The 15,223-nt window shown below is 47.9% G+C and overlaps 1 protein-coding gene across 1 annotated transcript in view, besides 1 other annotated feature; it reads left to right on the top strand.

Annotated features, from left to right (window-relative positions):
- Positions 1–15,223, top strand: part of CERK (ceramide kinase) — a 53,843-nt gene that overhangs the window by 18,218 nt on the left and 20,402 nt on the right. Inside the window, exons 4-6 of the mRNA NM_022766.6 lie at positions 7,742–7,867; positions 8,886–8,949; positions 12,047–12,192. Of these exons, the coding sequence (NP_073603.2) occupies positions 7,742–7,867; positions 8,886–8,949; positions 12,047–12,192 (336 nt within the window). The remainder of the gene's footprint in view (positions 1–7,741; positions 7,868–8,885; positions 8,950–12,046; positions 12,193–15,223) is intronic.
- Positions 8,152–9,351: an enhancer, noted in NCBI's record as "MED14-independent group 3 enhancer chr22:47106581-47107780 (GRCh37/hg19 assembly coordinates)". NCBI's record gives its function as "activates an origin of replication core promoter dependent on BRD2, BRD4, P300/CBP and CDK7 cofactors, and independent of MED14, by STARR-seq in HCT116 cells {active_cell/tissue: HCT116}" and the evidence as "EXISTENCE:reporter gene assay evidence [ECO:0000049][PMID:35650434]".

Below are 15,223 nucleotides of genomic sequence, written 5' to 3'. Positions count from 1 at the left end.
GCCTGATTGGGTGATCTTCCTGAAGTGTCTCCCCGTTTCGTGCAGCTGGCCATACCCCAGGTGGACATGATGAGTCAGGCTGACTTAATTTCTCATGAGCAGACCATCCCAGTGAATGCAAAGGGCATGGGCTCCACAGCCTGGACCCTGGCATGGAGTCCAGCCCCCTGCTCACTGGCCAGGAGGCCTGGGGGCGGGTCACTTACCCTTCTGAGCCTCAGTTTCTCTTTCTGGAAGCGGAGATGGTAATAGCTTTTACATTCGAGGTGAATGTGAGAATTAAACTGGGCACATGGAGGAATACACCTCACATCTGTCTGGGATGCGTCCATGTCTTTTTTCTTTTCTTTTCTTTTCTTTTTCAAGATGGAGTCTTGCTTGGTTGCTCAGGCTGGAGTTCAGTGGCGCGATCTCAGCTCACTGCAACCACCACCTCCTGGGTTCAAGTGATTCTTCTGCCTCAGCCTCCCGAGTAGCTGGGACTACAGGCATGCGCCACCACGCCTGGCTAATTTTTGTATTTTTAGTAGAGATGGGGTTTTACCAAGTTGGCCAGGCTGGTCTCAGACTTCTGACCTCAGGTGATCTCCCCACCTTGGCCTCCTGGAGTGCTGGGATTACAGGTGTGAGCCACCACGCCCAGCCAGGGATGTGTCCACATCTGAAATGTAGTAGGAGCCTGGAGCCTGGTGGGTTAGTTATTGCATGCTGAGTAACAAGACTTTGTCACCCTTAAAAAGTGGTAGGATGGCTAGAGACATAATCTGTACACCAAACCCCCATGACACGCACTTTACCTATATAACAAACCTGCACATGTACCCGTGAACTTAAAAGTTTAAAAAAAGGAACATATGGTAGACACACACACACACACACACACACAAAGTGGTAGGTGTTCATTCATTTTGTATTCATAACACTATTTCATGTTGTTTGCTTATAACCTTAATAGGCAATTTTTTTTGAGACAGGGTCTCGCTCTGTCACCCGGGGTGGAGTGCAGTGGCATGATCTTAGCTCACTGCAGCCTCTACCTTCCGGGCTCAAGTGATCTTCCCACCTCAGTCTCCTGAGTAGCTGGGACTACAGGTGTGTGCCACCACGCCTGGCTAATTTTTTTTGTACAGACAGGGTTTTGCCATATTGCCCAGGCTGATCTCAAACTCCTGTGCTCAAGCCATCTTCCTACCTTAGCCTCCCAAAGTGCTAGGATTACAGGTGTAAGCCACTGAGCCCAGCCAATACACAGTCTTGACAACTCAGCACAGGCTTCACCCATAGAATAGAAATGGCATGTGTTTAGGTTAGTTTTATATATTTTTGAATGAATTTGGCACCTACATCAAGAAAGTGAATTTCAGTTTATTAAAAGGAGGCATTCCCATATATCTGCTTCAGAGCAGCATCATTGCTTGAAGGAGCCCTCCTCTTGATTACAACTGGGGCAGGAGGGCCTGTGCTTCCATACTTCCCTGTTTAATCCTGGGGGACTTGGCCTCCACCACCTGCTGTCGTGAAAAGCTCATCCTGACCGTCCTCACATCTCAAACCACCACAAGCCCCGTTCCTCTGCATGTCGTTCCGCACTAGGCTGTTCAGAAGAGTGCATCTGTTTCTCCCGCCTTCCCCTCCTCTGTTTGTCTCTCGACTCCCCCTTTCCGTCCGTCCTGCTTTCTCCTTCCCTTTCCTCCCATCAAACCTGTTTTCATGAGACTTTGGCTGACTGGATTCCAGACCTGATCCTATAGGTGCAGACTCCAAGAGAAAGTCCTCTGAACCCTGCCTCCCACTGGAGAATGTGGGTTCATTTTCATCTTTATAATTGTGCATTTGATATAGTCTCCTTGTAGCTAAAAATTGTATATGATTCTATTGTTTCAGCTACTCTACAATTTTAACTTCTAACCCTGTTATCTGTTTTAGTGGGTTTTTTTCTTTGTTTTGTTCTTGGTTTTTGAGACAATCTCACTCCATCATCCGGGCTGGAGTGCAGTGGTGCAATCTCGGCTTACTGCAAACTCCTCCTGGGTTCAAGCGATTCTCCTGTCTCAGCCTCCTAAGTAGCTGAGATTATAGGCACCCATTACCACACCTGGCTAATTTTTGTATTTGTTGTAGAGACAGAGTTTCGCCGTGTTGGCCAGACTGGTCTCGAACTCCTGACCTCAAGTGATCCGCCTACCTCGGCCTCCCAAAGTGCTGGGATTACAGGCTGTTTTAGTATTTGTCATATCACAGACCCAGAGGATCTCATTCTGAGTGTGCACTGGGTGAATTTTCACGCTGAGCACACTTGTGTAACCAGCACCCAGATAAAGGAGCAGAATATTGCCAGCCCCAGGGTCCCCCACCGTGCCCCTGTGGTCATGACTCCCCAAAGGGGAACCACTGCTGCGACTTCTAAACAACTAGGTTCACTGTTGTACTTGATAGAAATCAGATCATACAGTATGAAACCTTTTGTGCCTGGCTCTCGGCTCAACATGACACTTGTGAAGTTTTCCACGCTGTTTTCCACCGTGGTGGCGAGTAGTCTTGCATAAATTTTCCACGCTCTCGCGTGGGGCTGCCGTTTGTCCATTCTCTAGGCCGTATGGTATTCCGTGATGTGAATGTTACGGCCATTTATTCACCCATGGTACAGTGGCTGGTCATTTGGACAGCTTCCTGATGTGGGCTGTCATGAACAGTAGCATTGGGAACATTCTAGAGCATGTCTTTTGCACCCGTCTGCATTTCTCCTGGGTGCATACCTGGGAATGGAGTCGCTGGGTTGTAGGTGTTTGTTGCATGTGTTGACTTCAGAAGACGCTGCCAGCCTGCATTCCACCCTCAGGGTTCGGGAGTTCTGGTTGCCCCACATCTTAGCCACACCTTTACGTCTTAGCCATGGTGGTGTTAATAGTCTTGCACTGTGGTTGTAGTTTGCACTCCCTAATGGTTAATGAGGTTGAGAAACACATTCATATGTTCATGGGCCATTCAGATATCGCCTTTTGTGAGGTTCTGTTCAAGTCTTTTGTCCATTTTTCCGTTTGGTTGTTATCTTTCTCTTCCTTCCTTTCTTTCATTCTTTTTTTCTTTTTTTTTTGGTGGGGGGACAGAGTCTCGCTCTGTTGCCCAGGCTGGAGGGCAGTTGCGCGATCCTGGCTCACTGCAACCTCTGCCTCCTGGGTTCAAGCAATCCTCAGCCTCCTGAGTAGCTGGGACTACAGGCGTGTGCCACCACGCCTGGCTAGTTTTTTTGTATTTTTTAGTAGAGAGGGGGTTTTGCTATATTGGCCAGGCTGATCTTGAACTCTTGGCCTCAAGTGATCTACCTGCCTCAGCCTCCCAAAGTGCTGGGATTATAGGCATGAGCCACCATGCCCAGCTGGTTGTATCTTTTTCTTAATGATGTGTAGAAACTGTTTACATATTGTGGATCTGAATCTTTTATTGAATTTATTAATTACATAAATTTATGTAATTAATAAGAATTACCAATTCTGTAATTTGCCTTTTCAATCTCGTATTTTTTTTTTTTAAGAGACGGGGTCTTGGCCGGGCATGGTGGCTCACGCCTATAATCCTAGCACTTTGGGAGGCCGAGGCGGGTGGATCACCTGAGGTCAAGAGTTCGGGACCAGCCTGGCCAACATGGTGAAACCCCATCTCTACTAAAAATACAAAACTTAGCCAAGCATGGTGGCACACACCTGTCATCCCAGCTACTCGAGAGGCTGAGGCAGGAGAATCACTTGAACCCTGGGGGTGGAGGTTGCAGTGAGTCGAGATCATGCAACTTCACTCCAGCCTGGGCGAAAGAGCAAAACTCCATCTTTAAAAAAAAAAAAAAAAGGGAGATGAGGTCTTGTTCTGCCACCCAGGCCGGAGTGCAGTGGCACAATCACGGTTCACTGCAGCTTTGAACTCCTGAGCTCAAGCAATGCTTCTGCCTCAGCCTCGCAAGTAGCTGAGACTACAGGCACATGTCACCGTGCCTGGCTGATTTTTTGAAAATTTTTTCATAGAGCTGGGGTCTTGCTGTGTTGCCCAGGCTGGTCTCAAACTCCTAGGCTCAAAGAATCCTCCCACCTCAGCCTCCCAAAGCATTGATATTACCAGGGTGAGCTACTATACTCGGCCTATTTTTATGATTTTAAAAAACTTTCTGGTAAGCTTGTGTCCTATTGAAGATATCTTTGTCTACTCCAAAGTCACGAAGACGTTTTATTCTCCAAGCTCTATTGTTTTCCGCTTCACATTTGGATCTATGTAATCCATTTGGAATTCATCTTTGTGTCCAGTGTGAGGTGAGCAGTCAAGATTCATTTTCCTCTTTCTTTTTATGTATTCATTTTTTTAAGACAGGGTCTTGCTCTGTCACCCAGGCTGCAGTGCAGCTATGCGATCATAGCTCACTGTGGCCTTGAACTAGTGGGCTCAAGCGATCCTCCTGCCTCAGCCTCCCAAGTAGCTGGGACTACAGGCACGAACCACTGTGCCCAACCTAGTATTTTCATTAACTATAAACATCTGCTTGACCCTGTGGCATTTACGGGAAAGTCTCGTTTTCCCTACTGCACTGTTTATTTATTTTTTATTGTTTGTGTATAGAAATGTGATAGAATTGTGTATTTCACCTTGCATTCAATGACCTTGCAAACTTCACTTATGGATGCTAATAGTTTGATGATTATTTTAGATTTTTGTCAAACACGATCATGTCAGCTGTGCATAATAACAGTTGTGTTTCTTCCATTTTAATTCTTCTCTCTTTTATTTCTTTTCCTTATGTTTTTGCCCTGGCTTGGACCAACACAGGGGTGCTAGCAGCATCCTTGTCTCAGTCCTGATCTCAGGGGAAAGATTTTAGTGTTTCACCATTAAGAATGATGTTTCTTATGTTTTTAATAGATTTTAAAAATCAGATTAAGACAGAATTTCCTTTTAATCCTACTTTTCTGAGAGTTTTGGTTTTTTTAAGTGGAGAATGGGTATTTAATTTGATAAATGCCTTTTCTGCATCTATTGAGATGACTGTATGACTTTCTTTTTTTTTTTCAATTAATGTGTTGAGTTACATTAATTTCTCATTGTTGCAGTCCTGGAGTAAACAAACCTCTCTTGGTTGTGATGTAGTACTGTTTATGTGTCACTGGATTTGACTTACCGATATTGTGTTTAGGATTTTTGCACGTAGGTTCAGGGGAGGGATGTCTGAATATGAGCCCCTTTCTGATAACATCTTTGTCTGGTTTTGTTCCCAAGGTCACAGTGGTGTGTCATACAAAGAGTTCATACGTGTTTGTTTTTTTCTGTTCTCTGGAAGCGTTCCTATAATCTTGAGGCTATTTTTTCCTTAAATGTTTGGAAGAATTCAGTTGTGAAATCATCTGGGCTTGGAGTTTTCTTTGTGAGAAGTTTTCATTAATAGCTTTGGTGTCTTTATTAGCTGTCAGACTATTCAGATTTTCTATTTCTTCTGGTATCTCTGACAAATTTTGCTTTTTGAGAAGTTTAACCATTTCATCCAAATTCGTGAGTTTATTAGCATGAACTTATTAGTAAATTCTTTCATTTTCTTTGTAATATTGGTAGAATCTGGAGTAATGTCTCACTCTGTAGCCCAGGCTGGAGTGCAGTGGCACGACCATAGCTCACTGCAGCCTCGACCTCCCAGGTTCAAGTGATTCTCTCACCTCAGCCTCCAGAGTAGCTGGGACTACAAGGGCATACCACCACACCCAGCTAATTTGTTTGTTTGTTTGTTTATTTTGACATGGAGTCTTACTCTGTCACCCAGGCTGGAGTGCAATGGCGCGATCTTGGCTCACTGCAACCTCCACTTCCTGGGTTCAAGTGATTCTCCTGCCTCAGCCTCCTGAGCAGCTGGAATTACAGGTGCTTGCCACCATTCCCAGCTAATTTTTGTATTGTTAGTAGAGACAGGGTTTCACCATGTTGCCCAGGCTGGTTTCAAACACCTGACCTCAAGTGATCTGCCCACCTCGGCCTCCCAAAGTGTTGGGATTAACAGGCGTGAGCCACTGAGCCTGGCCTGATTTTTTTTGATCGTTTGTCGAGACAGAGTCTCACTATATCGCCCTGGCTGGTCTTGAACTCCTGTGCTCATATGATCCTCCTGCCTTGGCCTCCCAAAGTGTTGGGATTACAGGTGTCAGCCACTATGCCTGGCCAAAATCCTAAGTTTCAATCAATGACTTCTGAAACACACATACCTTTGTAACTCAAACCCATCAAGGCTTCTGTCACCCCAGAAGTTTTACGTGTGCTCCTGGGTGGAAGCCTCCAGTCTCTCTGCATACTGTTTTCACATTGATTCATGTTGGTCGCACCCAGTAGTTTGCTTATTTCATGACTGAAGGATGCTCCGTTGATGTGTGGACTGCGTCTCGATTTCTTCTTCAGGTGATGGGCGTTCAGGCTGTTCCCACTGCTTGGCTGTGGTGAAGAATGCTGTGATGAACATTTGTGTCTGTGTTTTTTTGTTTGTTTGTTTTTTTTTTTTTTTTTTTTTGAGATGAAGTCTCACTCTGTCGCCCAGGCTGGAATGCAGTGGCGCGACCTTGGCTCACTGCCAGCTCCGCCTCCCGGGTTCATGCCATTCTCCTGCCTCAGCCTCCCAAGTAGCTGGGACTACAGGTGCCCGCCACCACGCCCGGCTAATTTTTTTGTATTTTTTTTTAGTAGAGACGGGATTTCACCGTGTTAGCCAGGATGGTCCCGATCTCCTGACCTCGTGATCCGCCCACCTCGGCCTCCCAAAGTGCTGGGATTACAGGCATGAGCCACCGCGCCTGGCCCTGTGTCTGGATTTTTGTATGGACTTAGGTTTTCAGTTTCCTTGGGTAGATACTGTCTTGTTACTTTTATTGATTTGTTAGTTAAATGTGTTCTTTTAAGTAGCAGAGTCACATGAACCCACCAAAACAGAAATGTGGAAGTTGTTATAAGAAAATGGGGGTGACTCTGGCTAACACGGTGAAACCCCATCTCTACTAACAATACAAAAAATTAGCCGGGCGTGGTGGCGGGCGCCTGTAGTCCCAGCTACTCAGGAGGCTGAGGCAGGAGGATGGCATGAACCCAGGAGGCAGAGCTTGCAGTGAGCTGAGATCACACCACTGCACTCCAGCCTGGGCGACAGAGCGAGACTCCATCTCAAAAAAAAAAAAAAAGAAAAGAAAAGAAAATGGGGGTGACTGAGGAAACCCAGGCATGGGAGTTTGGCGGGGCCCCTGGAGAGATGGAAACGAGGTCACTGGTTTCTGTCTTTCCATCTCTGCAAGCATCTCCCTGTGTGGCTTCTTCTTTCCATACCTGCTGGTCCGCTTTTCCTAAGACTCTTCCCTCTGTCTGCTTCCTTCTTCCTGCTGTCTGCACACTCACCTCCTTCACCTGCAGAAGAACGAGGCTGCTGCCCCCAGCATGTGTACCCGACAGCACCCTTCAGAGCAGAGAGAGCCCTTCTCAGTCGGAATTCTGAGTTCGTGGGAGTTTCATGATGTCCGACATGTGTGTATAGCCTTTGCCCAGTTGGACAACCTGTTGATTTTCTCTTTTCATAGATCAGGAAGCTCTTTGTCATTGTTCTTTAAGATTTAAAAATACTTTCCATCAGGTAATACTAAGCAGAATTCTAAAACCCTCATGGTTTGATTTTGTCCAGTAACAGAGCTCTTCGTTTTGATTTTGTTATTTTCGTTGTTATTTACATGTTGTTGTCTTACAGCGTCCAGACCAAAGCATTTACTGGTATTTATCAACCCGTTTGGAGGAAAAGGACAAGGCAAGCGGATATATGAAAGAAAAGTGGCACCACTGTTCACCTTAGCCTCCATCACCACTGACATCATCGGTAACAAATTCTATGTTAACTATGTAGAAGTAAGTTTGAGAATGATTCAAGTATAGTCACTAGAGACGTTTCTGCTTTTTCTAGACGGTGTCTCACTCTGTTGCCCAGGCTGGAGTGCAGTGGTGCAATTGTGGGTCACTGTAACCTCAGCCTCCTTGACTCAGATGATCCTCCTGCCTCAGCCTCCCAAGTAGCTGGCACCACACCTTGTGCCACCATGCCTGGCTAATTTTTGTATTTTTTGTATAGGCGGGGTTTCACCATATTGCTTAGGCTGGTTTCGAACCCCTGGGCTCAAGCAATGTTGCCCACCTTAGCCTCCCAAAGTGCTGGGATTATAGGCATGAGCCACTGTGCCCAGCCCAAGATTTTTATCCTGTAAGATTATTTTAAACAAAATAGAACTTTTTTTTACATACCAGAATGGGAAGAATACAAAATAAATAACTTAGTATTTTCCAGCCAATTCTCAGCATAGAAGGCAATCAAGAAAAACACTAGGAAGATAAAAGGGCAACGATTCTGGACAGAAAATTCTCAAAAGAGGAGACACAAAGGATTAATAAGTCTTAGAAATAATCTCACATCACACACCGGGGCCTGTTGTGGGGTGGGGGGACTTTCAATAGAAGTTTACATCAGGTATAGAGACTGCACTAACATCTTCTTACTACACTTTGGTATAGTGTACAATTTTGGAAGTAACTTGTATAATAAGGAAAAATTATAAAAGAGACGTAATCTCTTTCAAAGAAATTATTATTTGCCGGCAATTAAATACCAGGAACGCTGCATGTCATCGCGCAGACTGTGGCCCGAGAGAGGTTCATGTTCACGTTCCCTGAGGTCAGCTTGATCCCGTCCCATAAGAGCGATGTAGAATTGAAGAGGGAATTTTATCTAGGAAATCCGCCTGAAGGTGTTACAGGAACTCATTTTAAAAGAATGGATGATTTGCCTTTTACGTGAGGACTCACAGATGTGAATATAAACTGTGTGATGTAATTTTTCCCCACAGTTACTGAACATGCTAATCAGGCCAAGGAGACTCTGTATGAGATTAACATAGACAAATACGACGGGTGAGTAAGCCGTCTTTCATCGCCATCAAGTCCATTGTTAATGAAAAAGTTCTACCCACCTCTCAGTTTTGAGAGCTCCTTTTCCTAAATCCGCCCCCCGCCTCCACCCACGACCAATTGTAAAAGTAAACATGCTTCTTACAGGAAGGCAAGAAAGAAAAGGCAGAAAAGTGCAGTCACACACTCCTCTCTGGCTGGGCTGGGCGAGAATGGTTGTTTGCTGGTTCTGTTCCCTTTCGGTCTTTCAGAAGATGTGCTTATGCGGTGCTGTGTAGACAGAGAAGCAAATCAACCAAGCACATTATCAAGAATGTTTAGATGCTGTCGTTTTTACAGTTTGGGATTCTTCTTTTCCCCAAAATTCCTAGAGATTTCCCAGAACTACTATTTTTAATGCCCATATCATGGTCCATTATGTGGGCATGCCATATTTATTTAGCCTCTCACTTGTAGATGTTCAGGCTCTTTCCAATTTTTGCTCTTAGGATAGCATTGTTGTACATAAATCTCTCTGCATACATCTACATTTTTAAGGTAAATTCCTAGAAATGAAATTAGTCATAGGAGATTAACATTTTAAAATCTCTGCCGTGTACAGCCATATTGCTTTCGAAAGAGATTCTATTAACTTACATTCTTTTTTTTTTTTTTCGTTTTTGAGGCAGAGTTTCGCTCTTGTTGCCCAGGCTGGAGTGCAATGGCGTGACCTCGGCAGCTTCGGCCTCCCAAGTCCAAATGATTCTCCTGCCTCAACCTCCCGAGTAGCTGGGATTATAGGTGCCCAACACCACGCCCAGCTAATTTTTGTGTTTTTAGTAGAGACAGGATTTCGCCATGTTGGCCAGGCTGGTCTCGAACTCCTGACCTCAGGTGATCCACGCGACCCGCCTCAGCCTCCCAAAGTGCTGGGATTACAGGCATGAGCCACCGCGCCCGGCCAGTTTACATTCTTTCTTATAGTATATTATTTACTGTCTTTGTCAACATGTTTGGTATTATCAGTATAAAATTTCTCTGCTAATTTGACATGTGAAAGTCTCTAATATTTTAAGAAATATGTTTATTGGCTAGCTGGCTTCTTGGAATTGATTTTTATGTCTTTGGCCCATTTTCTTTTGTTGGCCATAATTTCAGTCATTTGTTCTCTTATCCAACAAATAATAGGCAATTCATATTTATATTCATATTTTTGCAAATATTTTTGCTAATTTTGAAATTGTCTTTTAATTTTGCTTATGGCATTAATTCTTCCCAGTAGAAGTTTTCAAATTCATGTACTCAAGTCTGTCCAGCTCTTCTGTGCTGTTCTTTATGCTTAAAATTTCACTCTTCATCTTGAGTTTAGCTATTCCCCTGTAGTTAATTGCCTTGTCATTGGTTGGCTTTTTGTTTTCTTCTCTCTGTTCCATCTGGAGTCGGTGAGCAATGTGTTATAAATTGCAGCGGATATTTATTGAAATCATTATTCATTCCACAAACATTATTGAGGGTCCTCCAGGTCCCAGCACTCTGCTGGTGCTAAGGTTAGAAAGGGAAATAAAAGGAGCCCCTGCCCCCAGGTGCTGACAGGGAGACCCCTTTGCTCCCCTCCTAATGCGGGAGTGTTCTGTTCATGGGCTCCAGGAAGCAGGGGGCTCCTCCATGCACATCTCCCCAACTCCACCCGATGGCAGCTCCTCCATGTACTTCTTCCCACCACCTCCACCCGACAGCAGCTTGGCAGGAAGACAGTCGTCTTCACTTTTCAGCAGGGATGGGGCTGGCACCTTATTGCACCCACCCTAGCCAAGGGATCAGCCTCGCCTCTTGAGGGCACGCCTTCTCCCCAAACCCAGGGACATGCCGTGCAGGAGGCTGGGAGGCCTGGCCAGTGAGGGCTGCTCTTCCTGCGGCTGAGCTGTCTGTCTGAGTGATCTGTCTGTCTAACACACAGATGCTACACTGCCCATTCAAGGATGCCCTGTCCTCGAAACCACAGCCCCGCTGGGAAGGCTGCCCCGGTGCAAGGTGTAGGCTACGGGGAAGGGCAAAGAGCCTTCCCATGGGAGCCGGGCCCAAAGCAGGTGGCCTGAGTGGTGGGTGGTGGGCAGAGATCCCAGCCCTGGAGACTGGTCGCGCCTGCACAGACAGACCCACTGGGGAATGGGCAGGCACCTTGATGCTGTCATGCTTGAGGGAGGCCCCTCAGGCTGCACCCCCTAGTCGACTCACACCGCTCCTCTACCGGCGGACCTTCCCCCTGCAACCCTCTCTTCCCGGGTGATGAGAGCTCTTGGGCTGCCGTAGGCTATAGAGATGTCCAGGAAACCTGAGCCCTGTCCTCTGCCTTCCCTCTGGGCTGCAGTGACATGTCTGTCTCCATGCCTGCACCTCTCATTCTGCCACCTCAGTGTTGGTTCCCTGTGGGTTACCCCCGGCATAGGACAGCACACCCTGAAACCAACCCGTCCTTTCTCCCTTCAGCCACTGTCCCCTTTCTCCATCTCCTCTCCTTAGATTGTCTCATGCCCCATTTTGTCCGCATTTATTCCGTCCCCTCTGCTCTTGCCTTGGGTCCTCAAGACCACCCACACGGCTGGTGATTTGCTGCCTGAGCTAGAGTCGTGCTCTCGGCTGAGATTTCTGACGGGACAGAGCAAGGCTGCACAGCCAGCTTAGCAAAGGAGAAACGTCCCCGCGCAGACTGCTGTGCCTCTCCCGCAGTGCGGGTCACCTGGAGTGCACCCTCTCTGCTCCCACAAATGCAGCAGCACAGGTGTACTCTTCCCGCCCCGCAAACTTGAGTCCTGAGACCCAGAGTGTAGTGTTTTTGAGGGGGTACAGGCATGCAGGCATTCTCTGCCTAGCCACCCAAATTCCAGACTCACAGAAGGAAAGCCAGTATTTGCCATCAATCTCATTATTTGTACACGTGGTCTAGGCCAACTGGCACAGAGGCACGACCTTATCACTTAGGGACATTTCAGGAGCCGCACTTCTAGATGCCTGCCAAGGGCCAGGTGTGCAGGCTGCCCCTCCTGAAGCTGGAAGCCTCAGGCCTGCTGCGCTCAGAGGGCCGCACCTGCAGGAGCCCTGACCGGCTGTGTTCCTCCTGCAGCATCGTCTGTGTCGGCGGAGATGGTATGTTCAGCGAGGTGCTGCACGGTCTGATTGGGAGGACGCAGAGGAGCGCCGGGGTCGACCAGAACCACCCCCGGGCTGTGCTGGTCCCCAGTAGCCTCCGGATTGGAATCATTCCCGCAGGTATGGAGCCGGCCTGGCATTCTCTGTTCTCTTCGTTCCCGTCCTTAGGAATTGTTCTGCACAAGTAGCCACCTCGGACACTTAATAACCCAATTATACTCAGTTTAGTTCGTACAGATTTCCTAACATTAGGGCCACTCTTGGGGGGATATCATTGAGAGTATGACCCCAATGAAATAGACACTCGTGGAAAGGAAAGTTGCCCGACTCCCCCAAAGGCTGCTTCACGCAAGGCAGGAGAACCCCACCGCTGGGGGTGCAGTCCTGGAGTGGGGAACCCCCGGTGCCCGGGAGCAGGTGGGTAGGTTGGCAGGGGGTGCGTTCTGGAAGAAGTGGCTTCTGGACCTGAAGGAACCGGGAGTTAGGGGTGGGTGTGGGCAGGAATCGGGCTGGGGAGTTGGGAGGAGACTGAGTGGGAAAGGTGGGGGCGGAACCAAGGGCAGGACCTAGCCGAGCCCGGGAACAGCTGGGCTGTGTCCTGAAGTGCTGGTTCGGCTTGGTCCATTCAACATCCTTCTAGGAACCACCTTGTTCTTTGAAAAATCACAGTGTTAAGCTAAGTCAAGCTGAGGGCCTGAGCGTGGTGTGTTGCAGGCTTTGCAAATGACCTGGCAGGGGACGAGGTGTCTGTCCTCTCTGGCCCTGTGTCTGGCCCCGAGGGTGGCGGCATGGTGCACACTTTCACTCTCGTCACAGCTCTGGGATGTGAGCACCGCAGTCATCCCCATTTTATGGATGAAGACAGGAGGACTGGGGGTGAGGTCACAGGTCACCGGATGGGAGCGAGAGTTGGAGGTTTAGAGGCCACCTTGCCTCAAAGCAAGGGAAAGGCTAGCCCTCACGAGGGACAGGCCCTGAGCCACCTTCTCTGTGGGTGCCGCTCTCAACTCTAACCTGCCTCCGACAGGTGACATTGTGGGCCAGTGTTTACTTGAGGGAGTCATCCTTTAAACTTAAGTCATTACTCCTTCTTAATGACAGAGCTTGTGAATAATGGTGTGAGGCAAATGTTCCCCACGGATGGTGACATTGCGGGTGTTTTCAGTATCAAGACTCATTTTAGGGGGATTTGTGTTAGCATAATATCTCGTGAATTACTAATAATTGTTAGCAACAAGTTGACCATGGTCATGGTTTTAAGTATATAGGAAAGGATGATCGTCTGGTTACGATCCCTTCCCTTTGGCTTTTAGGGAAGGCGTGATGCAGTTATTAATAGAGAGGAACTTTTCATAATATCGCCTGATGAGTTTTAGAAGAATGTCACTCACCTGAGAAGAGTCCTGTCTAATGAGAACAGCCTGGCTCCAGGCTGGGAGACACTAAGGGGAGAAATGGTTCTTTAGAAATAGCTCAATAGAGAAAAAGCTCTCAGCACCCCTTCCAATAACAAGTCTCTCAGATAAACCAAAGCATTATAGCAACATCCCGCTGGATCTCGGGGGAGCCTCTGCTGGATTTCCTCACATCCTTCTCAGGCCTCCTGTGTGCCGCCGACCTCTCGGTTCCTGCCAGGCAGTTAGGAGTGGGGAGAGCGGAAGAGCTGGCCGGGAGCAGACGGCTCGGGAGGGCCCCTGGGCCTTGGCTGATGTCTGTCTTCCCCACAGGCAGGGAGGTTGGCTTTCACTCATGTGTCCTCGGTGGGGCACCCAGCCCTGGCACCCAAACTCCCTCTTAGATATCTGTTGAATGACTGAGCACAGCTGTGCAAGGTCGAGCTCTGTGTTCACACACACTCAGCACACTCACACGCTCCAGGCTCCCAGCCCCTGAAGGTGCACAGATCACGGCTTGTCTTTTTGTTTGAGACTGGGTCTCACTCTGTCACCTAGTTTGGAGTGCAGTGGCATGATCGTGGCTCACTGCAGCCTAGACTGCCCCAGGCTCAAGTGATCCTCTTGCCTCAGCCTCCCAAGTAGCTGGGACCACAGGCGTGCACCACCACACTCGGCCAACTTTTTTTTCATATTTTTGTAGAGATGGAGTTTCACCATGTTGCCCAGGCTGGTCTCAAACTCCTGGACTCAAGTGATCCACCAGCCTCTGCCTCCCAAAGTGCTGGGATTACAGGCGTGCACCACCATGCCTGGCCAGTCACCCACCACTTGTCTTGCTGGCTGGCGCTGGTTCAAGAGGCGTTCCAGTTCTTTGGGTTGGTTGGTTGGTTTGTTTGAATCAGAGTCTCACTTTGTCGTCCAGGCTGGAGTGCAGTGGTGCGATCTTGGCTCACTGCAACCTCTGCCTCCTGGGCTTAAGCAATTCTCCTGCCTCAGCCTCCTGAGCAGCTGAGACTACAGGTGTGTACCACCATGCCTGGCTAATTTTGTATTTTTAGTAGAAACAGGGTTTTGCTACGTTGGCCAGGGTGGTCTCAAACTCTTGACCTCAAGTGATCTACCTGCCTTGGCCTCCCAAGGTGCTGGGATTACAGGCATGAGCCACTGGACCCAGCCCGTTCCGATTCTTTGAATGACCCAGACAACCAATGTTGATGGCCTTGCACTGTCTCCCTATGGCCACAAGTGCCTGAGATCAAGGCACCGTCTCCTGCTGTCTTCACCCCAGGCCCCTCACTCCCATCCTTCTTTCCATACTCTCTCTGCATCTTCCACACTCGTGAAGGACCCTGGCCCCTGTGCACGTGTGGCTCTCAGAGGCTCCAGGTCATGATTTCCTTGTGGACATCCCTTGACGTGGAGTCTCTGGGCCCACTTAATTCTCCCATAAAGGCCACCCACGGGGCTGGGAGGGGGAGTTTCCCCAAGCCTGGCACAGCCTGGAGGTTTGTCTGTGGTTTAACTTTTATCCCATCTGATAGACTGAGTATGCTGCCTTATTCACTATCTTTATTTACTCTCTTTATTTGTATTTCTTTCATTATGTGTGAGGCCACACTGCTTTTCACAGGTCCTCTTGCTGTTTGCATTGTGTGCTTTTGTAAACTTCCTTTCCCTTGCTTAGTCCATGTTCTCATGGGGAAGCAAGAGGGCATTGTCACTTTTTTTTTTTTTTTTTTTTGAGATGGAGTCTT

This window comes from Homo sapiens, chromosome 22 (assembly GCF_000001405.40).
Source record: "Homo sapiens chromosome 22, GRCh38.p14 Primary Assembly".
In the NCBI taxonomy this organism is placed as follows: Eukaryota; Metazoa; Chordata; class Mammalia; order Primates; family Hominidae; genus Homo; species Homo sapiens.
This window is presented reverse-complemented; position numbering and strand designations above follow the sequence as displayed.